At 43.6% G+C, this 24,006-nt stretch overlaps 1 protein-coding gene and 1 pseudogene across 23 annotated transcripts in view; one reads left to right on the forward strand and one right to left on the reverse strand.

The window, feature by feature from the left end:
* The window catches only part of PRKCE (protein kinase C epsilon), a 536,712-nt gene that overhangs the window by 330,282 nt on the left and 182,424 nt on the right, over positions 1 to 24,006 (forward strand). For 21 of the 23 annotated variants that reach the window (XR_007078551.1, XR_939695.3, XM_005264428.2 and 18 more), the window contains 3 exons: positions 2,991 to 3,120; positions 19,844 to 19,986; positions 22,982 to 23,078. Coding sequence is in view for 21 of the 23 variants with exons in the window: in XM_005264428.2 (XP_005264485.1) it covers positions 2,991 to 3,120; positions 19,844 to 19,986; positions 22,982 to 23,078 (370 nt within the window). In the remaining 2 variants the exon portion in view is untranslated. Of the gene's footprint in view, positions 1 to 2,990; positions 3,121 to 19,052; positions 19,443 to 19,843; positions 19,987 to 21,297; positions 21,464 to 22,981; positions 23,079 to 24,006 lie in introns of those variants that run through there. The other 2 variants (XM_006712050.4, XM_011532983.3) reach the window with 2 other exon arrangements.
* Positions 22,353 to 22,855, reverse strand: RPL26P15 (ribosomal protein L26 pseudogene 15; annotated as a pseudogene).

Genomic DNA, 24,006 nt, shown 5'->3' on the forward strand with positions numbered 1-24,006 from the left:
GAGCACCAACATTGTTTGCAGGGGCTCTCTTGTGGTTAAGACTGCAAGCCAGCACCTGCACCTCCCGACTCCTGGTCTAGGATCATGACCCCAGTACATCACTGTTGCTTTCACGAGGAAATGAAAGAAAGAGATGGCTTGCTTGCTGTCTGCCTTATTTCCTTCCTATGGACATTCCATTGAACATTTACTGGGTATGTCCTGTATGACAGGCGTTATGCTGTGTCCCATGGAAACAAAGAGGAGTACACTAGTCCCTCCCTCAAGGATCTCAGTCTCATCACCTGCAGGTCTCTGCCTCTGCAGGACTCTAAAGCTCTTCTGCACTTTTTTGGAGGGAAAGGTCCGATAAGAGTCCATGCCATGCAGGTTAAAGGGTTGAGATTTGAAATGTTCAGAACCCAGCTTGATCTGTGACCCAGTTCTTCTGACTGTCTTTCCTGGCATATTGAGCAGTGAGAAGAAGTCTCCAGTGAAGTGTGTTCCCAAACTTGACATGTATCACCAAGGGACAAATTGCCAGGGACTGAGAGAGGGAGGCTCTGGGTTTCTTAGCTTGGTGGAGTTGACTCCCAGTCCTGGCTCTCCCCGCCACCACCTTGTGCTTCCAGAGGCCAGTCTCCCTTAGTGTCAGTGTATCTGCCCCTCAGGGTGATGGGCTTGCCCTCTGCCGGGTTACTGAACTGCTGGGGACCAAACTTTGAGTTCGTTCTTTTGTGCAACCACCTTTAATGTGATGCCTGTGCATACACACATCATACACACATACACACCAGAAACACATGTAGCCCTAAACACCATGCTTTCAATGCCCTCCTTCCTATTAAAAGGTGCTCTGGTGATGGACTTCTTGGGTGTCCTGCACCGTGAACACTCGGCCGGTCCCCCCCATCTCATGTCTGTGTGTCTTAGCATGCGGTGGACTCACACCCTGCCTGCACTTCCAGGTGTGGTAACCAAACAATGTTCCATCTCCACTGGTGTCACATTTTTTTTTCTTTAATCTCACAATTCTTTCTGCCATTGTCTTCCTCTCCATGTTCTCTCTGTGACTCTCACTCACCCCATTGTATCTGTGTCCTCCTCAGCAAGCGCACATGTGACATGTCCCCCTGCACACATGCCGTCTTTGTGTTGGTCTCTTGGTCAGTCTGATGCTGTGGCATGCTCTTGTGTGGACTCCTTCATCCTCCTCCCTCTGTTCTCTGATACCTTAGAGTTTTTAGTGGTCCCAACTGAGGGTCACGTAGCTCTTTCCACCCCCACACTGGATTTCTTGGTCACCTGGGACAACGTCCCCACTTTTTCGCCTTAGTCTGTCATTCATACCCCTATGAGGTGATTCCTGAGAGACCAAGACTCTATTCTCAGTATAGGTCCACCATGCCTTCAGGGTATGTGTAGGAATAGAGTGGGCACAGTGATCTCGTACTTCCTTAGCAGTGAGGGAGACCATGGCAGAGTCAACATGTCTACATTCACAAACAGGCACACCTAAGCTAGGCATCTAAGAATGGGTGAGTATAGTTGTTTTCAGTAGAGCTGACATTCTTGTTCCCAGGCAAGACCTCAAGTGGTAGACCATCCATTTCAGTAGGGATCAGTGAAATCTTGGTCCAATGGAAGGATCAGCCATTCCTTGGAACTGGGTGCTAGGGAACTTGTCTTCATGCTTGCGTTCAAGTCGAGCTCCCTTTCCAGCTCTCATTTCACCCCTCATTAGTCCCCCACGGGGGCCTGTTACTTATCAGTCAGCCAGGGAGCTGAGGCCCAGCTTTGCCGCATGCCAGCCACTTCCTAATCCCCGGGGTAGCAAGAGTGATCTCCCCAGCCCATGGATGTCCTGGGTGATGGTCTCCTGCCGATACTGAGAGGGGCTGGGGGTGCAGCTGCTCCACTAAAGACATAGATGGAGGGTAGCGCTGTGGAGGGGCAGAGATGACTCAGAAAGGTAGCCCAGCAGACCCTTGCTTCCATGAAATGTGTTATGCTTCTAGCCTCTTCCACCCCTGAGGTCTCATTGACCCTGCCATCCTGTGACACTGGGTGGGACAGGGTATGATAGTGCTGTGCCTTCATTTCCTCATCTGTGAAGTTGCGGTAACCATGGACTGCCCTGTAGGGTGGTGGTGAGGTTTAACTGAGATAATGGTGCCTGGTGTGTGGTCAGGGCTGAGACCTTAGCATTCTTAGTGCTCACCATTCTGTATTAGCCATCTTCCTCCTAATTGTTGTCCGTTCTGACTGATCCACAGTTTCCACAACATTGTGCAGAGTTTACACGCTGCTGCACAGAATCCCGTGTCCACCATTGAGCTTCCTAGAGACTTTTTGCCTAGGTGGGGCTTCCAGGCACACAGCAGTATTGAAGGTACAATTTTTTTTTTTTTTTTTTGAGACAGAGTCTTGCTCTGTCACCCAGGCTAGGGTGCAGTGGGATGATCTTGGCTCACTGCAACCTCTGCCTCCCGGATTCAAGCAATTCTCCTGCCTCAGCCTTCCGAGTAGCTGGGATTACAGGCTCGCACCACCATGCCCGGCTAATTTTTGTGTTTTTAGTAGAGACAGGGTTTCACCATGTTGGCCAGGCTGGTCTCGAACTCCTGACCTCAGGTGGTCCGCCTACCTCAGCCTCCCAAAATGCTGGGATTACAGATATGATCCACTGCACCCGGCCTGAGGTACACATTGAGGACACTGTACTATGATTGCTTAAAGTCCTGAAGTCCTGGAGAGGACCATGTTGGGGAGTAGGCCTGGCCTTGCACAGTCAAATGGAGTAGCCAACAGTGAGTTAAGAGCATCAGGAGCCAAGGCCAGGGCAGGATGGAAGCTCTTTTCACCTCAGGGCAGCTTTTAGAGCCAAGCTAGGGCCTGCCACCTACAATGACACAAGCTCTCTTGGAAAAAGTTCTTTGAGAGTTCCGTTGACAAGTCTTCTGGGGAACTGAGGAGCTCGGTGGTGAACCTGTATCTTGCCATCCCTGCAGGTGGGCTCCCAGCGGTTCAGCGTCAACATGCCCCACAAGTTCGGTATCCACAACTACAAGGTCCCTACCTTCTGCGATCACTGTGGGTCCCTGCTCTGGGGACTCTTGCGGCAGGGTTTGCAGTGTAAAGGTAAGTTGCTCCCTGCCCTGCCCTCAGCCCCTGCATGTCCCCTTCCTTGCTGCCTGCCCCCATCCCTGCTTTATAAAAAACCCTTGTCTGATTCCAGATTTGGCCAAGAACTGAGTGCAAGCCTTTGTTAATCCTGCATTAGTAACTCTGTGCATTTGGTAGGCAGACTCTGGGCAGAGACCATCCAGGACTGGGTGGAGGGAAACACCGAGGAAGGAGGAGGGCGGACTCCACGCCTTAAGATCACTCACAATCTGGGGAGACAAAATGAGTCTACAAAAGCATAATAATTTCAGGAAAGATACATTAGAGCAGAAGAAAAGTAATATTTTTGGAGTTAGGCCATGAAGGAAGTGAGAGGTGTGAATTGAGGCTTTTCTTGCATGGTCCATGGCTCAGTGCTTACTCTTTGAAAGAGCCATGCCAGAACCTTGTCACATAAGGTAGCTTGCTGACTCGTCACCAGCTTGGGACATAGGGGATATTATTCCCATGGCCCTGGTGAGGAAACGGAGGCTCAGAGACTAAGCAACTTGCTCACATCACACAATTTATTAGCAGAAGTAGGATTTGAACCTTGACTCTCGCGTCCTCAGTTCCTTCCTGTTTCCTGCCGTGCCACCCGCAAACAGCGCACTCAGATGATGATGCTAAGTGGCACGGGGAGTAGCATATAACACAGGGAGGTGGAAATGTATTCTGGTGGCCTGAGAAGTGTGTCCAGTTTTATAAGCCGGTCCAGCCTGCTTGCACGGTTGGGCAACCGTGAACTACTAGGCAGGGATATTGCATGGACAATATTTTAAAATAGTGTTTTACTGTTTGTGTGGAATGTATTATTCATAAATTCCCATTGTAGAAAAATTAGAAGAATATAAGTAAAGTATAAGAAAATAAACCTAGGACATAACAAATTGGTCATTGAAGGGATCCCAATGAGAAACTATGAGAATTGGAAATAAGATCAGGGCTGCAGTGGGAATGAAGAGGAGAATGACTTTAATATATCAAGGAGGAATGATTTATTGGATGTAGTGACCAGAAGCAGCTGGGAGGGCAGTGATAGCATTCACTGAGATGGGGATACAAGAGGGAGGATAAGGTTGGAGGTAGAAATGGAGCCTGAGCTGGGGACACCTTAACTCGAGGTGCCCGTGGCAAATTGACACGAAGCTGTCCACCTGTTGGACATTCTCACTGACAGTTGGGGAATAGGTCTAGACTGAGCATTTAGATGTGGGTTTTGTCAGGATCTAAGCAATTAAAGCTATAAAGTCAATGTCATTCTCCAGGGTAAGTACATTGAGTATGAAGAGAAAAAAGTCAAAGATAACACCATGAGGGTGGGTACCAACATCCAAGGGTGGGCCTGCCAAGGCAATGAGAGGGAAGCACTCACAGGTAGGAGGAAAAGTAGCAAAGAATGGCACCATGGAAGCCAAAAGAGTAGATAATTTTTAACAGTTTTATAAAGAAGTGGTGCCAAATGCTTTCCAACAGGTTATTTAAGATAAGACACGAAACATGGGGTTGGATTTAACAACAAGGAGGTCACTAGGAACCTCAGCAGGAGCTGTCTTAGTGGGACAGTGGGATGGAGCCCAAGTGCTGTAGGCTAAAGTGCTAATAGAGGGAGATGTTTTTTCAGAATGTTTTAGTCAGGAAAAAGACAGTGGCAAAGGAGAGATGGATGAGGCAGAAGGGAGAGGGGACTGACTGTTGATACAGCAGGGAAGGGGAGGCGAGCGGGGATGGGCCTTGGGGAGAATGATGGACACCGCCTTCCCCAGATGGAGGGCAAGCCTGGCTACCAGGCCTGGGTGCAGATGCATCTCGGGTGTCAGGGATAGAAATCCAGGAGGAGGTGAGTGGACAAAGTCATCATTTAAGTTTTGAATCTGTTGAGGGCATTGCAAGGAGATTCCCCTTATTTTCTGAAAGAGGAAGTCTTTTTTGAAGTAGGAGGGAGAAGTGGGGGTGTGAGAGGCACGAGGAGGGTGGTGAGGGCTGGAAATAGCAATTGTGGGGACAGAACACAATCCAGCCACTGGACATGAGGAGGTGCTGACTGTGGACATGCCCAGCATCCTGTGAGCTTCCCGGCACCCCTGGAGGTGGGGGCGGAGCCATTCCACTTCCCCGTTGGAGTATTCTTTCTAGTGTGTGACCCTGAACAAAATGGGGCCTGCCTGGAATCCTGTAGGTGAGGTGAAGAGAGCAGAAGAGGAAGAAGGGAGGGGAGCAGGAGTCTCGAGTGTCTAGCAGAGGAGTGATGTGCTTTTGGAAAGATTAGTGTGGTTGCCGGGAAGCAGGGCCTGCTTTGGAGGGAACCCTGATGAGCTGATGTCTGTTTTTTTTTTTGTAAATATATTAATTATTGATCTATCTAGTGAACCTAAATGAAGATACTATCATCATAAATATTGATATTTTAAGAAAGCAGCCCAGACACCCAGACATCACTGTGAGGGCTGTGGGTCCCCAATGACCCTGGAAGAAGGAGGGGCAGGGACAGTGTATTCAGCTCTTGTTGGGCAGGAAATGCTCTTGCCCCTGCTCAAGGAAAGAAGGGGCAGAATTAGGATGCCTGGAGCAAGGGTATCTGTCCATGGGAGCCCAGGAACCCGGAGGGAATCAGGCCGCATGAGGGCTAGAAGACGAAGGCTGAGACCTGAAGCTCCCCAGCCAAAGTGTGCAGACTTTTACTCTTCTGTGGCTCTGATGTTATTACTTGGCCTTTTTTTCCCCTTGCTGCTGTTCTGTGACCCTCTCCTTCTCCCTCTCCCTCTCTCTTTGTCTTCCTCTCTCTTTAATTAAGAAACCTTATTTTTTTAAGAGCATTTTTAGGTTCACAGCAAAATTGAGCAGAAAGTACAGAGAGTCCCTGTATTATGTGCCCCCCAACACACATGGCCTCCCCCCACCAGCATCCCCACCACAGCAGCACACGTGCACAGCCACGGAACCTGCACAGCACATCATTATCACTCACAGTCTGTGGTTTACCTTGGGATCCACTCATGGTGTTGAGCATTCTGTGGATTTGGACAAATGGACAGTGCTCGTTATCTACCATGATAGTATCATACAGATTAGCTGGATGGCCCTGGAAAATTGCCTGCTTCCACTTATCTCTTTAGATCCTTTCTCCTCCTTAAGGCTTCTTGGCCCTGTAGACTCCTTACCCTGTGGAGAGGGGTCATGGCCAGAAGAGGCCAGCATGGGCCCAAGGCAGGGGCTGCTTGTGCCCAGGTCTAAGCCTGGTTCTGCTACTATGATTACTAAGAAAAAGAAATCAAGACTTAGTGACCTGCAAGCATCCCCGAGCAAGTCCCTATGAAGCTGGCTCTTGCACCCATGCAGCCTGGCCCTGTTCCTGGCTTTGGCAGGTGCCCTATGCCACCCTTTGCTGCTTAGGAAGACTCAGCCAGGCTTTCTGTCTTGCTGGACCATGCTAGCAGGGCCTGCTAGGCTGGAGCTCTGGTCCCCTGGTCCTGGCTGGAGATCATCTATTTGGCCTGCTGCCCTATGGCTTCAGCTTTTTTGCCATTCCCGTTCCCATTCCTGGAAATAGATTACAGTATTTTCAGCAAAACAGGTTTCTTCAGAGCTTGGGTCTACGAGGAGGGATCCATGAGACTGTCCTGGTCACTCTTTCTCCAGTCTAAAACTGTCTGAGCCACACAGGTTCAAGCATTGTGTGTGTACCCTTCTGGGGACTGTCCCTTTGTCAGCCAGGTAGAGGGAGCATAATTATGTCTGCTTTTATGACAAGGAAATGGAAATCTGGAAAGAGTGGGTGCATGCAGGGCATACAACCAGGAACTGTGGGGCAACCAGCCCTTGTCCTTTGCAGCCCACAGCCACAGAGGGGCCAGACCCTTGCAGGATGCTCACACGATCATTGGGTAACTGAGATCCTTAACCGAGGGCAGAAAAATGCTGGCACAAAGTGAGCAGGCAAAATAGTTCATTTCTTTCTTTCATTTTGTGACTCAAGTGCCTGCTGCGTCTGAGTCTCTCCAGACTCATTCGTGGGTCTGTCCGAGCCCCTCAACCACTATTAAACAGTCCAGAAATCAGCTTCCCAGGTTCCAGGAGCAGCATCGCTAGTCTCGGGCATTTGTAGCCTTTTCATTCTGCACTTTGTTGGAACAGTGCTGCCTTCTCCAATCTCAGGTTCACTGGCACCATGGGCCTCTCTGGGGCCCTTTTCCACCTGTTTTATTTTCCCATTGACACATGGAGTCAGTGGCCCCTGGAGGCAGAGACACCCAATACCCTTTGATTGCAGTTTCCTTCTCTAGAGAAGATCCAGTTCTCACCTGCCCCCGTCCCATCCCCCACACTCATGTCTCAGCACAGCTGCTCTGAAGTCATCGGGCACCAAGGGGCAACTTCACAGGAAAGCCAGACCTCCTGACGGAGCCTGCAGTTGGGCCTGCGGGGGCCTGTGGAAGCGGAAGCCCTGCTTTTTCTCATCCCCATCTGGGGTGAATGCTCTGCACCTGCTGTCCTCCAGGACAGGGGACGAGGCACAGGGAGGAAGGTGTACTCCACGAAGACCTGGCCTGGAGATTCCTAAAGAATCTTCTTCCTCGCTCCTGCCTCTCTCTGACACACATCTTAATAACTGCTCTGATCTGCGGCTGTTTTCAGGGGCCAAGGGGACAGGGTGTCCCCTCCTCTCCAGTAAGTAGTAAACAGGAGTGGTGGCCTGAAGAGATCACAGGCTAGGATTTGGAGGAGCTGTCCTGGTTTGGGTACTGCCTAGCTGGGAGGTTGCAAGCAGGTCACCCTGGCTTAGTGCCCTTGGCTTTTAACCCCAACTGCCCTCTTCCCTTCTGAGGACAGTAATAAAAAATAAAAATGGAGTGATCTTAGCCACATACCTTGGGGTGGCTGTGCAGAGCCATAAAGATGAAAGAAAGGCCTGCCTGTCTCCCTCCTTCCTTCCTTTCCTTGTTTAAAAAAAAAAAAAAGTATTTTGGATACTTAAAAACACTAAAAACATGCAGAATAATTTTTAATTTTCAACATTTCTGAAAATGTCAGTCCTTTACTATTTTTAACAGCTAGGTCCCTTGTCGTAACTTCAACTTTTATTTTTAGAATTATAAAGAGCACAATACATAAATACATTCTCACTGTTCTTACTGTCAAAGATCCAAGCAAGACTGAAGTTAGATATATATTAAAAATATTAAAGGCTTTCTTTATATTCTCTTTCCACTTTCATCCTCAGACTTCTAAAAATGTGCTATGGGTCCTCTTACTTCTAAAAATGTCCTCTTTTTGTGTGCCTTTGCTGCACGGATACTCACACACACTGCGTTAGAGTCTATTGCTACATAACAAATGACCCCAGGACATAGTGGTGTAAAACAACCAATACTTATTTTCTCAGAGTTTCCGCTGGTCAGAAATCTGGATGGAGCTTAGCTGGGTGCATCTGACTCTCATGAGGTTTCAGTCAAGCTGAGAGCTGGGGCTGTTGTCTCATCTGAAAACTCAACTGGAAGAGGATCCACTTCCAAGCTCGCCCACATGGCCACTGACCAGAAACATCAGTTCTCTGCCGTATGGGCCTCTCCACACAGTGACTGGCTTCCTTCAATGCAAACAAGAAAGTGAGAAAAGATGCCCCAGACACGAGGCAATGGGACATCTTATCGCTTTTGATGTTTTCTGTTCATTAGAAGAGAATCACTACGTCCAGTCCTCTCCAAGGGAGGGAGTTACATAAAAGCATGAACACTATGAGGCAGGGGCAATCAGGAGGCAGCTTAGGGGCTGCCTGGCACACCTGCACCTCCCCATCCACATCCCCTTCGCCTCCTCACAAATGCAATCGTCTTGTCTATGGGGTCTACCCTGACCACTGGGTAGCTCTCAAGCTCTTGTCTCTCGTCTCTTACTTCCTCTGCTTTTTTTTCTAACATAGCACTTATCATCTTCTAATATTCTAAATTACTTTCTTTTTTTTTTTTTTGAGATGGAGTCTCGCTCTGTTGCCCAGGCTGGAGTGCAGTGACATGATCTCGGCTCTCAGCTCACTGCAACTTTCACCTCCCAGGTTCAAGCAATTCTCCTGCCTCAGCCTCTGGAGTAGCTGGGACTATAGGTGCATGCCACCACACTAGGCTAATTTTTGTATTTTTAATAGAGACAGGGTTTCACCATGTTGGCCAGGCTGGTCTCAAACTCCTGACCTCAAGTGATCCGTCCTCCTCAGCCTCCCAAAGTGCTGGGATTACAGGTGTGAGCCACTGCACCCAGTCTAAATTACTTGTATAATGTTAGTTTCTTTCTTTCTTCCTTTCTTTCTTTCTTCTTTTTTTTTTTTGACAGAGTCTCACTTTGTCACCCAGGCTGGAGTGCAGCGGTGCAATCTCAGCTCACTGCAACCTCTGCCTCCTGGGTTCAAGTGATCTTCCTGCCTCAGCCTCCCAAGTAGCTGGGATTACAGGCACCTGCCACCACGCCCGGCAAATTTTTACATTTTTAGTAGAGATGGGGTTTCATCATGTTGGCCAGGGTGGTCTTTAGCTCCCAACCTCAAGTGATCCACCTACCTCAGCCTCCCAACGTGCTGGGATTACAGGCATGAGCCACCACGCCAGACCTTATAATGTTAATTTCTGTCTCTCCCAATCCAAATACAAGGTCCATGAGGACAGAGATTTTTTTTTGTCTGTTTTATTCTCTGTTTACCCAGCATCTAGAACAGTGCCTGCACACTGACATCCAATAAATATTTGTTAATTCAATCCTCCGTGCATAGTTATATAATTTGCTTTTCTACAGTATGTCTTGGAGTATTTCCAAGGCAGTGTACAGACATCTACTTTACTTACTAGAAAGAGTCCACATTGTGGATGTTCCGTAGATTGTTTAAAATGTTGCCCTCTTGATGGATGTTTACTGGTTTGTGTGTTGTCGCCATTTTAATTTATGCTGTCACAGACATCCTCATACATACCTTTTCATGCATATGTGTGAATAATTATGAAAGAAAGGCCCACAGAAATCAAACAATCACTTTAAACCCTTGTCTTTTTGTGGTTGAATTATACAAGGAGGGAATTACATAAGGGCACTTTTACTTGTTTGCTTTAAAGTCAAGCCATGTTAATGGACTGCTTTACCTTCCTTTTCATTGACGTTTAATTTGTGTGGCTTGCATGGTGAGCTTGGGATTCTAGTTCCCTGTTATCTATTGGGTCTGGTCTGAGAGGTGTCATTTATGCCACTGTAGTACTACTACTTTCCGTAGAGTTAGAATAACTGAAAAGCATGTTGTCCTGATTTGTGCAAGGCGTCGTGGTGAACCTGGAGATAAAACATTACTTTAGTTCTCTAGAAACTTGCACTGTGCTTGGTCATTGAACATAATAAGTGAAATCATAGGCGATAATTCAGGCATTGAGTCAGAAATAAGTGTGAGCAATTTACAGGCAAGAGAGGGCCTGGAAAGGGGTGTAGGGAGAAAGAATGCCACAGGAGTGCTTTGGTTGACTCAGAATCCTTTGCAGTAACATCCACAATGCCTGGGGACCATGAGAATGTCCCCTGTACACGTGGCAGATTGGCTGAAAATTCAGTCTGAGCTTTGATCTGAGGAATGCTGGGTAGCAGACAAGCGGCCGATCGTGGTCCCCGGAAAGCTCTGAGTCACGGTTCTGGTGTGATCAGGACTCCAAAATCTCTTTCTGGTGATGACATTTGGCCCAGCATGACCCCAGGGGGGCATCCCTCTTACCTCCTTTCTCCTCATTCTGCGTGAACGACTTTGCGGTCGTTCACTCTCACACCCCTGCCAACTTCCATTGCACAAGCACACAATTTCCCATTTGCAAATATTTGCTCTCTGTCTCTGAGCTTGGCATGACTGGAACCTGTTATGAAATCAAACCATTGCCCTGGCTCACCCTCAAGGGCCAAATTACCCCAACATAAAGAAATTCCTGCAGCATACATGGGCCTGGGCCCCTCCTTAGGAGTGGCTCTGTCACCATTCCCAGAAGGTTGTCTGCTTGCTTTGGAGGAATTCCCAGGAGCCTGGCCTGCCTTTTGCTTCAATCTCAGCTATAAAAAGGGTGGAAACATGGAAACCAAGTCTCTCCAAATGACGGTAGGATGTGTGATAGAAGGTGAAAGTCAGAGTGCCTGAACCCCAGTGTGTCCCCAGACAACACTGCTGCTGCTGCACCACCCAGCACATAGTAGGTCCTCAACAAATGTGTGGTGAATAGCTGGGTAGTAGTAGAAGAGCGCTTCTCTTTTTGTAAGAGCCCCTGGCAAAGCAGATCTATTTCTTCCCGGTACAACTTTATCCAAATGAAACCAGTGAAAGTGAGCACTGAGAGGCATTCTGGAAAGAGAAGCCTTAAAGGGCAGCCTAGGGCTGGGAGTGGATTGGCAGCAGGGGCTCACGGCCTTTGGCCTTGGTGCTCCCCAGTAGTGTTGTGAGGGGTGGGGGTGGGTGGTTCATTTGGCCACATTAATGCAAATGCATCTCAGGTTTCTTTTGGTTCCAACAGGGACGCCCACTGTCCTTTGCTGGTCTGTGGCCTCCCAGTGACACCTGCAGCCTCCAGGAGCCCATCTTGCTCCCGTTATGGCTGCCCAGAGTAACTGGAGCTCCCCTTCCTCACCACTTTGCCCTGGCATTTCCAGACTTTTCAAAGCACTTTCAAAGTCACTATCTCACATCGTGCATGCTAACTGATGTGTGATTGAGATTTTTTTTACATATTAAGATGAGTACATAACTCAGGGGAAATAGCAGACTTTTTAAAAATAAAAGGCAAAGTCCTCAAAACCAAAACCAAAAAAAGATACCCCCTTTGCCGACCTGCCAGCCCAAGTTGTTTTGTCAGGACAGACAGGTCTGGCATTTCAACACCAGAGGGAGCTAGTGGTCAAGTTATGTAGACAAGTTAGTTGCCCTTCTCAAGAAATTCTCAACTTGGCTCTTTTATTCTCTTTTCCGTCACTTCACAGAGAGGCAGAAGACAGCTTTCATGGGTTTGGTGGGTGGAGCAGGTGTGGTGAATGAGCATCAAAGGGCAGCTGATGCAATGAGGCAGGGTAGTGGGGACAGAATTCTGGGCACAGTGCTGTTGCCTGGTCTCTGATCAGCCCGCGGATCAGAGTTATTAGTGATAACTCCATTAGTCAAGTCGGTGCCATGGCCTGGCTGCGCTGGAGTTTTCTTGTTTGTTTTTGTCCTGAGAAAGCCACCCTGCCACCACCTCACCCCACCCCCACCTTTAGCCCAATGGGCATCTTGGGTTCAGTAGCTCAGTTGAACTGTCCAGGCTGGTCTGGGGGGGCTCTCTCCAGACAGGTGACCAGGTTATGTAGAGCATTACGGAGATCTGGCTGCTTATCCTGCCTGGCTTCACTCCAGGAACAGTTTTGGTTTTTAAACATTTTTAGTAGACTTTACTTTTTAGAGTAGTTTTAGGTTCACAACAAAATAGGTCAAAGGTATAAAGATTTTCCACAAACCTTCTGCCTCCACACATGCACGGCCTCCCTCACCATCAGCATTCTGCAACGGAGTGGTATATTTGTTAACGGTCAGTGAACCTTCATTGACACATCATCATCAAAGTCCATAGTTTACATTAGGGCTCACTCTTGGTGGTGTACATTTCCATGATTTTGGACAAATGTATAATGACATGAATCTACCATTATAGTATCTTACAGAATAGTTTTACTGCACTAAAAATCCTCTGTGTTCTGCTTCTTCATCCCTCCCTCTCTCCTAACCCCTGGTAACCACTAAACTTTTTACCATTTTCATAGTTTTACCTTTTCCAGAATGTCCTATAGTTGGAATGATACAGGGGATAGCCTTTTGAGATTGGCACCTTTCACTTAGCAATATGCATTTAATGTTCTGCTATGTCTTTTCACAGTTGCTAACTCACTTCTTTTTAAGGCTGGATAATATTTCAGTGTCTGGATATACCATAGTTTATCCGTTCACCTACTAAAGGACATTTTGCTTGCTTTCAAGTTTTGGCAATTATGAATACAACTGCTATAAACATCCATGTGCGGGTTTTTATATGAACATAACTCTTCACCTCATTTGGGTAAATATCAGTAGTGTAATTGCTGGATCTTATGGTAATGGTATATTTAGTTTTGTAAGAAACTGCCAAACTGTCTCTCAAAGTGGCTGGACCACTATGCATTCCTACCAGCAATGAATAAAAAGTTCCTGTTGCTTCATATCCTGAATGGCATTGGGTGTTATCAGTTACCTCCTTGTATTTTGGCCATTTTAATAGGTGTGTAGTGGTATCTCATTGTTTTAATTTGTAATTTCCTAATGACACATGAAGTGGAGCATCTTCTCCTATGCTTATTTACCATCTGAATATCTTCTTTGGCGAGGTGTATGCTCAAGTCTTTTGCCCATTGGGTTATTCATTTTGTTATTGTTAAGTTTAAGAGTTTGTTGCCTATATTGGATAATATAGGCATATATTATCATATATGTCTTTTGTAAATACTTTCTCCCAGTCTGTTACTTGTCTTTTTATTCTATTGGCAGTGTGTGGTTTGGTTTTGTTTGTTTTTTGTTTGTTTGTTTGTTTGTTTTAGTTTGGGGAGGTGGGGGACAGAGCAAAAGTTTTTTATTTTAATGAAGTTCAGCTTATCAGCTCTTTTTTTCATGGATCATGTCCATGCATCATGGTGTTGCATCAAGAAAGTTATCTGTGTAGCCAAGGTTACCTATATTTTCTTCTATATTATCTTCAAGGAGTTTCATAGTTTTGCCTTTTACATTTAGGTCTACAGTCCATTTTGGATTCATTTTTGTGAAGATCGTAAGGTTTGTGTCTAGATTCACTGTTTTGCATGTCTAGTTTTTCTAGCACCATTTGTTGAAAACTGTCTTTGCTCCATTTTATTGCCTTTGCTTCTTTGTCAAAGATCAGTTGGCTGTATTTGTGCGGGTCTGCTCTGGGCTGTCTGTTCTGTTCCATTGATCTATTTGTCTGTTCCATTGATGTTTTGCCAATTCCACATTGTCTTGATTACTTCAGCTTTATAGTAAGTCTTGAAATTGGGTAGTGTCAGTCTTCTGACTTCGTTCTTTTTCTTCAATATTGTGTTAGCCTTTTGCTTGGGTCTTTTGCCTGGGTCTTTTGCCTCTCCATATAAACTTTAGAATGAGTTTGTCGATATCCATAAATAACTTGCTGGGATTTTGATTAAGGTTGCGTTGAATATATAGATCGAGTTTGGAAAGACATCTTGACAAATACTGAGTCTTTCTATCCATGAATACGGTATATCTCTATATGTATTTAGTTCTTGATTTTTTTCACAACGGTTTTGTAGTTCTACTTATATAGATCTTGTACATATTTTGTGAGATTTATATGTAAATATTTCATTTGGGGGAATGATAACATAGATGGTATTGTTTTTATTTTTAAATTCCATTTGTTCATTGCTGGTGTATAGGAAAACAACTGACTTTTGTATATTAACTTTGTATTCTTCAATCTGGCTATAATCATTATTGGTTCCAGGAGTTTTTTGTTGATTCTTTTGGATTTTCTACATGGACAATCATATCATCTACAAACAAAGATAGTTTTATAGTTTTATTTCTTCCTTTCCAATCAGTATACTTTTTATTTCTTTTTCTTGTCTTACTGCATTAGTTAGAACTTCCAGTATAGTGTTGAAAAGGAGTGGTGAGAGGGAGCATCCTTTTTGTGTTCCTGATCTTAGTATGAAATTGGCTGTAGGGTTTTTGTTGATGTTCTTTATTAAGTTGAGGAAATTCTCTTCAGTTCCTTGTTTACTGAGATATTTTATCATAAATAGGTTTGGATTTTGTCAAATGCTTTGTCTACATCTATTGTTAGAATTATTTGATTTTTTTTCTCTCTTTAGTCTATTGATAACAATTGATTACATTAGTTGATTTTTCAAATGTTGAACCAGCCTTGCTTGCCTGGGATAAATCCTACTTGGTCATGGTGTGTAATTCTCTTTATAAATTGTTGGATTCAATTTGCTGATTGTTGTTGAAGATTTTTTGCATTCATATTCATAAAAGTTATTGATCTGTAGATTTTATAATATCTTTGCTTTGATATTATGGTAATGGTGGCCTCCTAAAATGAGTTAGGATATATTCTGTCTGTTTCTTTCTTCTAGAAGATATTATAGAGAATTGATATAATTTCTTCCTTAAGTGTTTGGCAGAATTCACCATTTGGGCCTAGTGCTTTCTGTTTTGGAAGGTTATTAATGATTGATTCTATTGCTTTACAAGATAAGCCTGTTTGTACTGTGTATGTCTTCTTATGTAAGTTGTGGCAGATTGTGTATTTTAAGGAATTAGTCTCATTTTGTGTGGGTTATCAAATGATAGGCATAATATTCTTTATAATACTCTTTTATTCTTTTAATGCCCATAGGATCCATAATGATGTCCTCTCATTTCTGATATTAATAATTTGTGTCTTCTCTTTCTCTCTCTCTCTCTCACTAGCCTTACTAGAGGCTTATTGAGTCTATTGCTCTTTACAAAGAACCAGCTTTTTGTTGTTGGTTTTTCTCTACTGATTTTCTGTTTTTAATTCAAATGATTTTTGCTCTAATTCTTATTATTTCTTTTCTCCTGCTTACTTTGGATTTAAGTAAGCTACTTTGGTCTCCTTTTTCTAGTTTCCTAAGATAGAGGCTTAGATTATTGATTTTTAGAATGTTTTTCCTAATATATGCATTCAATGCTATAAACTTCCTTTGAAGCACTGCTTTTGCTATATCCCACTAATTTTGATGTTGTATTTTATTTTATTTCATTTTTTATTTTTATTTTATTTATTTATTTTTTTGAGACAGAGTCTCACTCTGTCACCCAGGCTGGAGTGCAGTGGTATGATCTCGGCTCACTACAACCTCTGCCTCCCGAGTTCAAGCGATTCTCCTGCCTCAGCCTCCCAAATAGCTGGGATTGCAGGCATACGCCACCACACCTGGCTAATTTTTGTATTTTTAGTAGAGATGGGGTTTTGCCATGTTGGCCAGGCTGGTCTCAAACTCCTGACCTCAAGTGATCCACCTGCCTTGGCCTCCCAAAGTGCTGGGATTACAGGCATGAGCTTCCATACCCGGCCGGTAAGTTGTATTTTAATTAATTCAAAATATTTTAAAACTTATCTTGAGATTTCTTTTCTCACTCATATGCTATTTAGCAATGTGTTTAATCTCCAAGTATTTTGGAATTTTTGAGCTATCTTTCTCTTATTGATTTCCAGGTTAATTCCATTGTGGTCTAAAGCCAACATTGTATGATTTCCATTCTTTTAAATTTGTTAAGGTGTATTTTATGGCCCAGAATGTGGTCTTTCTTGGTGATTGCTTCATATCTTGAGAAGAATGTGTATTCTTCTGTCACCGAATGAAGTTGTTGATAGATGTCAGTTATATTCAGTTGATTAATGTTGCTGTTGATTCAGTTGATTAATGTTGCTGTTGATTAATGTTGCTGTTGATTTGATTAATGTTTCTGCCTGCTAGATCTGTTTATTTTTGAATAAAGGGGTGCTGAAGTCTCCAATTATAATAGCAGCATCATCTGTTTCTCCTTGTAGTACCATCAGTTTTTGCCTCACTTACTTTGATGCTCTGGTTTTAGGTACATACACGTTAAAAATTACGTCTTTTTTGAGAATTGACCTTTTTATCCCTAATAACTTTCCTTGCTCTGAAGTCTGCTGGGTCTGAAATTAATTTAGCTTTTCTGCTTTTTTGGGTTTAGTGTTAGCATGGTATATCTTACTCTATGTCTTTACTTTTAATCTGTATGTGTCTTTAAGGTGGGTTTCTTGTGAACAACATATAGTTAGTTGGGTCTTGTTTTTTTTGATCCACTCTAACAATCTGTCTTTTAATTGGTATATTTAGACTATTGACATTTGAAGTCAATGATTATTGATTATTGACATACTTGGGTTAATATCTACTATAGTTAGTACTGTTTTCTATTTGTTGCCCTTATTCTTTGTTTCTATGTTTGTCTTCCACTCATTTTCTGCCTTTTGTGGTTTTAATTGAGCATTTAATATGTTCGTATTGTTTCTCTCCTTTCTTAGCGTATCATTTATACTTTCTTTTTTACTTATTTTAGTGCTTGCTGTGGAGTTTGCAGTATGCATTTACAACAAATCCAAATCTACTTTCAAATAATATTGTGCTGCTTCATGACAGTACAAGTACCTTATAATAACAAAATTATCCTAATTCCTCCCTGCCATCCTTGTCTCATTACTATCATTTATTTCACTTACACATAAGCATACCTAGCATATATGAAATACTATAATTACACATAATCAGCACATTACTAATATTATGATTTTGGGCAAACCATTAGCTGTTAAATTAATTAAGAATAAAAATAAAAGTTTTTATTTTACCTCCACTTATTTCTTCACCTTTCTTTACCTGCTCTCTTTTTCATGTAGATCCAAGTTTCTGAGCTGTATCATTTGTCTTCTCTCTGAAGAACTACTTTTAACATTTCTTACAAGGCAGATCACTGCCCATAAATTCCTTCCATTTTTGTTTGTCTGAGGAAGTTTTAATTTCTCCTTCACTTTTGAAGGATAATATTGCAGGGTAGAGAATTCTAGGGTGGTGGGGTTTTTATCTCAACATTTTGAATATTTAACTTCTTGATGGCATGGTTTCTGAGGAGAGGTTGGATGTAATTCTTATTTTTCCTCCTTTATAGGTAAAACTTTTTTTTTTCCTTTGACTTCTTTCAGCGTTTTTTAAATAGTTGATTTTCTGTAGTTTAGAAATTATATGCCTTGGTATAGTTTTTTGTTGGTTTGTTTGTTTGTTTCTTTTTGGCATTTATCCTGTGTGGTGTTCTTCAAGCTTCCTGGAGCTGTGGTTTGGTTTGGTGTCTGACATTAATTTTGGGAAATTCTCTGTCCTCATTGTATCAAATATTAATATTTTTTTCTGTTCCTTTCTCTTTCTTCTCGTAGTGGTAGTCTCTTTTTGCATATGTTACACTTTTTGTAGTTATCACCCAATCCTTGGATATTTTTTCCAGTCTTTGTTCTCTTTATTTTTTCATTTTTGAAGCTGCTATGGATATATCCTGAAGCTCAGAGATTGTTTCTTCAGCCATGTCTAGACTACTAATAAGCCCATCAGAAGCTTTCTTCATTTCTGTTAGTGTTTTTGATCTCTAGCAGTTCTTCTGATTCTTTCTTAGCATTTCCATCTCTCTGCTTATACTGCCCATTTGTTCTTACATGCTGTGTACATTATCCATTAGAACCCTTAGCATATTAATCATAGTTGTTTTAAATTCCCAGTCAGATAATTCCAGCATCCCTGCTATATCTGAGTCTAGTTCTGATGTTTGCCTTGTCACTTCAAACTGGTTTTTTGGGGTTTTTTTGTTTTTTTTTTTCTTTGCCTTTTAGGATGCCTTACAGTTTTTTCTTGCCAGACATTATATACCGGGTAAAAGGAACTGTCAGTAAACAGGCTGTTAGTAATGTGAGTAACGTGTGGAGGGAGGGAAAGAATTACATAGAGCTGTGATTAGGGTGTTTTCATGAATTTGTGCCTTTGAGCTGTGAACCTCACAAGTGCTGTTCAGTCCTCCCCTGGCCTTAGATAGGACAGGATGGCTAGAGTGGGCTGGAGTTGGGGATTTCCTTGTCCCCAGATCAGTCGGGGTCTGATAAAACCTCAATCTCTGATAAAAAAAAAAAACAACCCTCAACCTCTGATAAAATAGTTTCTCCTAAGAGAAGCCCTCGTTAAGAAGAGCAGAGTGCTCTGGGCTATTTTAAAAAATGGTTCTCTCCCCACGTTCCCCACCCCCAACCCCCACACTGAAATCCTGAGATTTTCTCCATATTTACTATGAGAATCTAGTTGAGCTCCTGAAGAGCACGACTCTCAACTGAATGTACAAAAGTCTATCAACTCAACGACTGGGTCCCCCTTAGAGTTTTTGACTCTCAGGCTTGTCTGCTCTGAGCCCATTTGTTGGTTACAGTTACAGTTTTTCTACCCCAGCATTGTTCCTACAGAGGTTTCTGCTTCAGTAAGTTGCGATTCTCTGTATTCGCCTGGTTGGCTGTCTAATTCTGGGAGCAGCAGTTTCAGTTTGCCCTAGGACTTCACTTCACTTGGTGGATCTCGGAAGAGCTGTTGATTTTGTAGTTTGTTCAGCGTTTTGCTTGTTAGAATGGAGTGCTGCTGACTTCTAAGCCCCTTAGGTGCCAGACTTCAATGAGCAGGTTGTTTTCACCTGTGATGTCTTACACCAAGGACAACTAAGTGAAGAGGGAAAAGCAAAGGAATTCATTGAATTCAGACTGGAGATCTGAAAGATTCCCAGTCCCTGGAGGGAAATATAAATGTGACATTTACTTACTTATCTATATTTAGGGTATACGTAGAAAGGATGGCTGGAATGAAGTACTAGAAACAGTGGTTATCTCTGCAAGGTGGTTTAATGAATGATTTTGGTTTTGTATGATGGAAGACATATATATATATATATATATTTCTGTATTTTCCAAATTATATCTTAAATGAACATGTAATACTTCATGAACATATAATACAATCTCAAAGAAAAGAAGCAACATCTTAGGCCATGAACACTTATCTGTCTTTTCTCCATGTCTCCTTACAGTCTGCAAAATGAATGTTCACCGTCGATGTGAGACCAACGTGGCTCCCAACTGTGGAGTGGATGCCAGAGGAATCGCCAAAGTACTGGCCGACCTGGGCGTTACCCCAGACAAAATCACCAACAGCGGCCAGAGAAGGAAAAAGGTAACTGGCTGTTTGGTGGTGTTGCTGGAGCCCTTTTCAGGCTAGCATTTCTGTGCTGACTTCCAGAGGGTGCTCTGGAGTGAGGTAATAAGATTCCTGGGTTTGAGGTATTTTACTCAGAACTGCAGTACTTAAAGAAAAAAACAAAGATAGAAGCCAGGCAGGTAACATTAATGTCTTCTTGAGCTCCAAAAGTGGACTGAAAACACAGCAAGCCTCAAGGGTTACGTTTGCCAAAGAAACATAAACTTTGAGATGAGGAATTTGAAATTCCTTCTAGAAAAAGCTTAACAACTCCATACAAGGAAATGGACTTATCTGCTTCCAGAACTGGCATGAAAGCAATGTCAGTGTCTGAACTTCACCCTTGGTATCATTATAATGGAGATAAATGGGTGAAGAACTGGAACCACATTCTTTTCTAGGGAGGAAGCCAAGATGATTTGTGATCATACCAGCACTGAGCTGCCTGGGGAATATTGTTAATGTCTCACGACATGAAACATCTGGGCCATTCTTTGGAGACCAAAACTGTCTCTATCTCTGTGACATTCTAAATATCAGTAAGAAGAGATCCATTTGCCAAAATGTTATTTTGGTAAGTCAGGGCCCACAGATGTAAACAGGGGGAAAGGCATCCGTAGCATTTCATTTGTAGGCTCTTCTTTAGCCCTGGCTCCTAGCCTAGAAAATTTAAGAGGTCTTTGAAAAGTAAGTTATGAGAAAATTAGAACCATGTTAACAGGGCAGAAAATCCGGGTGAAGGGTGCAGTGGGGCGTGGCCCTCATTGCCCAGTGGCGAACATCCTCAAGCCCCCTGCTAGAAAAGCAAGTCTGACTCTAGGTACCTCTGCAATCTTCCGCCTAAATAGTCTCCCTGAATTTTGCCCTGAAATGTCTTCTAAAGGCATTTCCTACATTTCCTGGTCATCTTGTCATGTTAGAAGCTACCCGTGGCTCTTCCATGTTGCTTCTCTTGTATAGGAAAGGTTGAAGGGTTCTTATTTTCTTAAACTTCTCCTACCCTGTTTTCTCAATAAGCAAAGCTGTTGTGCAAGGGTTGCAGAAAAAATTCTCTTCTCTCTGGTTGAGATAACTGAGACTTTGTGCTTTTGGTGGCTCTTCTCAGCTTTGTAAATTCCACTGGTGGAAACAAGACTTCACTTGTTGACCCAAGGCCCTGGAATTGCAAGCAGAGTATCAGTACCCAAGAATGCTAGGGCCCTGCTGAAGAGGCAAGCTGAGCAAACACTCTGTCATGACAACGTTATGCAAACACATTTAAAAGCTCTAGAGAGAACCCTTTTCAGGAGACATGGTTTTTATTCTTGTCTAGAAGTAAATTAAGACAGAATCTTTGTCATGAAACATTTGAAAGAAAACTCAGTACCTGCTGTCTTTGCGCTATATTTACATGGGTTGTCATGCCAGCTGTGAGACATTGTCTGCCTTGTCTTGGATTTGGAAGAACCAACAGGTAAGAAGCCAACATGGAGAAATTCAAGAAGGGGCAGGGTGGAAGGCTGAGGGACTGTAGTCCTGATATTTTTATTGCTGGGATGCTTCTGATGCCAAAATTGGGAAAAACCAAGTTGTAACTCAAGTCACTATGAGAGGTTGGGAGAGGAGTGCCCTTGGTCTGAAGCTCAAAGGCTTCTTTGCAGGAATATCAGACTTTCTGGTGTTTTGGTAGCCCTCGTGTTGCCCCTTGCAACTAGTCCATCATCCAGAAAGGATGTGTGTGCACAGCAGGTAGACCAAGAGTTAGTACTAAAAGGGAGCAGAAGTGTTTGTGATCTTTGAGTCTAAACCACTGATGTTAATGGAGACTCAAAGTGGATATGCCAGCATCTATGCGAAGGAACAAACCTCACTGGAGGTGTTCTATTAAAATTTACCAACAAATATCAATATATCTGAAAATATTTATTGAGCATCTATTATGTTTCTTACTTTGTGTAAGTCACTAGGGGCAATAAAAGTGCCGGACAGAGTCTTACCTTTAAGTATCCTATAGTCTACTTAAGTGGAGAACACCTCACAATATACACATAAAGATACTAACTATAAAAAGCTGAATAAGATATAAATAAGTGCCAAACAGGTGTTAGAGACAAGTGTCACATTGCTTTGCATGAGATAACTTGCATTGCTTGGATAGGTGGAGGGGGACGTTATGGAAGACATGGGGTGAGCTTTGCTTAGAAAGGTCAATTGTATTTGGATAGAATTAAAAGTGAACAAACTGAAGTCTCTTGTTTTCTTCCCTTAAATTGGCAAATGAAACCTTGAGTCTGTGCTTTCAGAATATCAATTCAGCAAGTAACACTGGGTATTAGGAACACTCTCTTTTTTTTTTATTTTAGCAGTTTTTAATGAAAGTTATATGTAAGATTTATTCCTGAATCCTCTCAATTGTTTTTTCCTTGCATTTGCCCTTCTCTTTTCCTACTTGGTGAGATGTGGCTTTCCGTTCAAAGATCTCTTTGCAGTCTTTGTCCAGCTTTAGCCTGGTGATAACCACCTTGCTGGGGTAGATACCCACGTGGATAGTTGAACATTAGCCTTTTCCTGCTGTACCCGTCCAATGTAGATGATGTATTTCTTCCTGTAAACCTGGACTACTTTTCCAGCTTGCTAACCTTTATGGTGTCCTCGCACAACCCGAACTACTTCATCCTTTTGGATGGGGTTGGATCAAACATTGTACCTCTGTCTCAGCTCTTTGGAATGAGGGGAAGACATCATCCTTCTGTGAATGTAGGGAAGGTGCACTGAAATTCCTTTTGTGGTTCTTGCTCTGGTCAGACGTCACAGAGGGATCGAACTTCATTTTGGCTACTTTGGCGATGGCTGCAAGAGGACAGAGATCTACTGAATTCCTGCTGCTCTGGGAACTCTCATGGCTCTTATACGGCATCTTGATGCTTTTGACATCAGAAAACTCTCAACCCTCCCTTCTGATGCCTCTGTCCCTGCTTTCTCTCCTCTCTAGCTCATTGCTGGTGCCGAGTCCCCGCAGCCTGCTTCTGGAAGCTCACCATCTGAGGAAGATCGATCCAAGTCAGCACCCACCTCCCCTTGTGACCAGGGTGAGACCCTCAGATTTGCTTCCTGACCTCTGAGTTCTGCCATTGGATGGACCAAGGAGCTCTGAGGCCTCTTTAACCAAGAGTGAGCTTGTTAGCTGAAATAGCTAGCAGCCCTGGTGGGTTTTCACACACCCGTTGCCTGTTGATTTAACAGTTCTTTCATTCTCCAAGACCTTCTTGAGGGCTGGGCACTCCATGGCCATATCTGCCTTAATTTCCTTCCAGGCCAGGGTAAGAGGAGAGCGAGTGTATGATGTTATGGTTATCTGTTTTCCCTTGCCTCTGTCCCTGGTTCCAAGTGTACTGCAGAGAGAAGGGTACAGCTCCCTCTCTTAAAGCTCTTGCCTGGCCCTAGACCTGTCAACACCACTCCCTTGAGTTGAGTTTGACACTCCCTCCCCCATCATCATACCCAAAACCTGAGATCAGCTTGAGTTTGGGGCTGGGTGAGGGAGGATGTCTTCTATCCTGGCCTTTGGGTGGGTGAGGATAGAAAGATGAAGCTAGAGGAGAGACTGAGAAAAGAAGTGGGAAGGAGGCCAGTCCTAGGCCTGTTTCCCCTCTACAGCTCCAGATATCTCCTTCTGTCCGACTGTGCTTCAGACAATAAGTTCTGCAGACATAATTTGCACAATAATAATTCTGCAGCCATCCGAGAATGATGAGGCTGAGGAGGGACTTACACTTGCAAAACCTCCTGCTCTCGTGACCATTATCAGATATGCCTGGTAAGGGACATATGCATCTGCAGAAGAGGAATAACCATCACAGCCTGACAATGGTGCCTTGGTTTTTCTATATCCCTTTTTGTATTCATTATCCTAATTTTATGCCCATACCCACTCTATGTTGGTGCTTCATTACTGTCCCCCAGGTTAGTGAGTGGGAAGTGGGAGGTCAGAGTGTGGAAAAGTTCTGTCCCAAGGTT

This window comes from Homo sapiens, chromosome 2 (assembly GCF_000001405.40).
Source record: "Homo sapiens chromosome 2, GRCh38.p14 Primary Assembly".
NCBI lineage: Eukaryota > Metazoa > Chordata > Mammalia > Primates > Hominidae > Homo > Homo sapiens.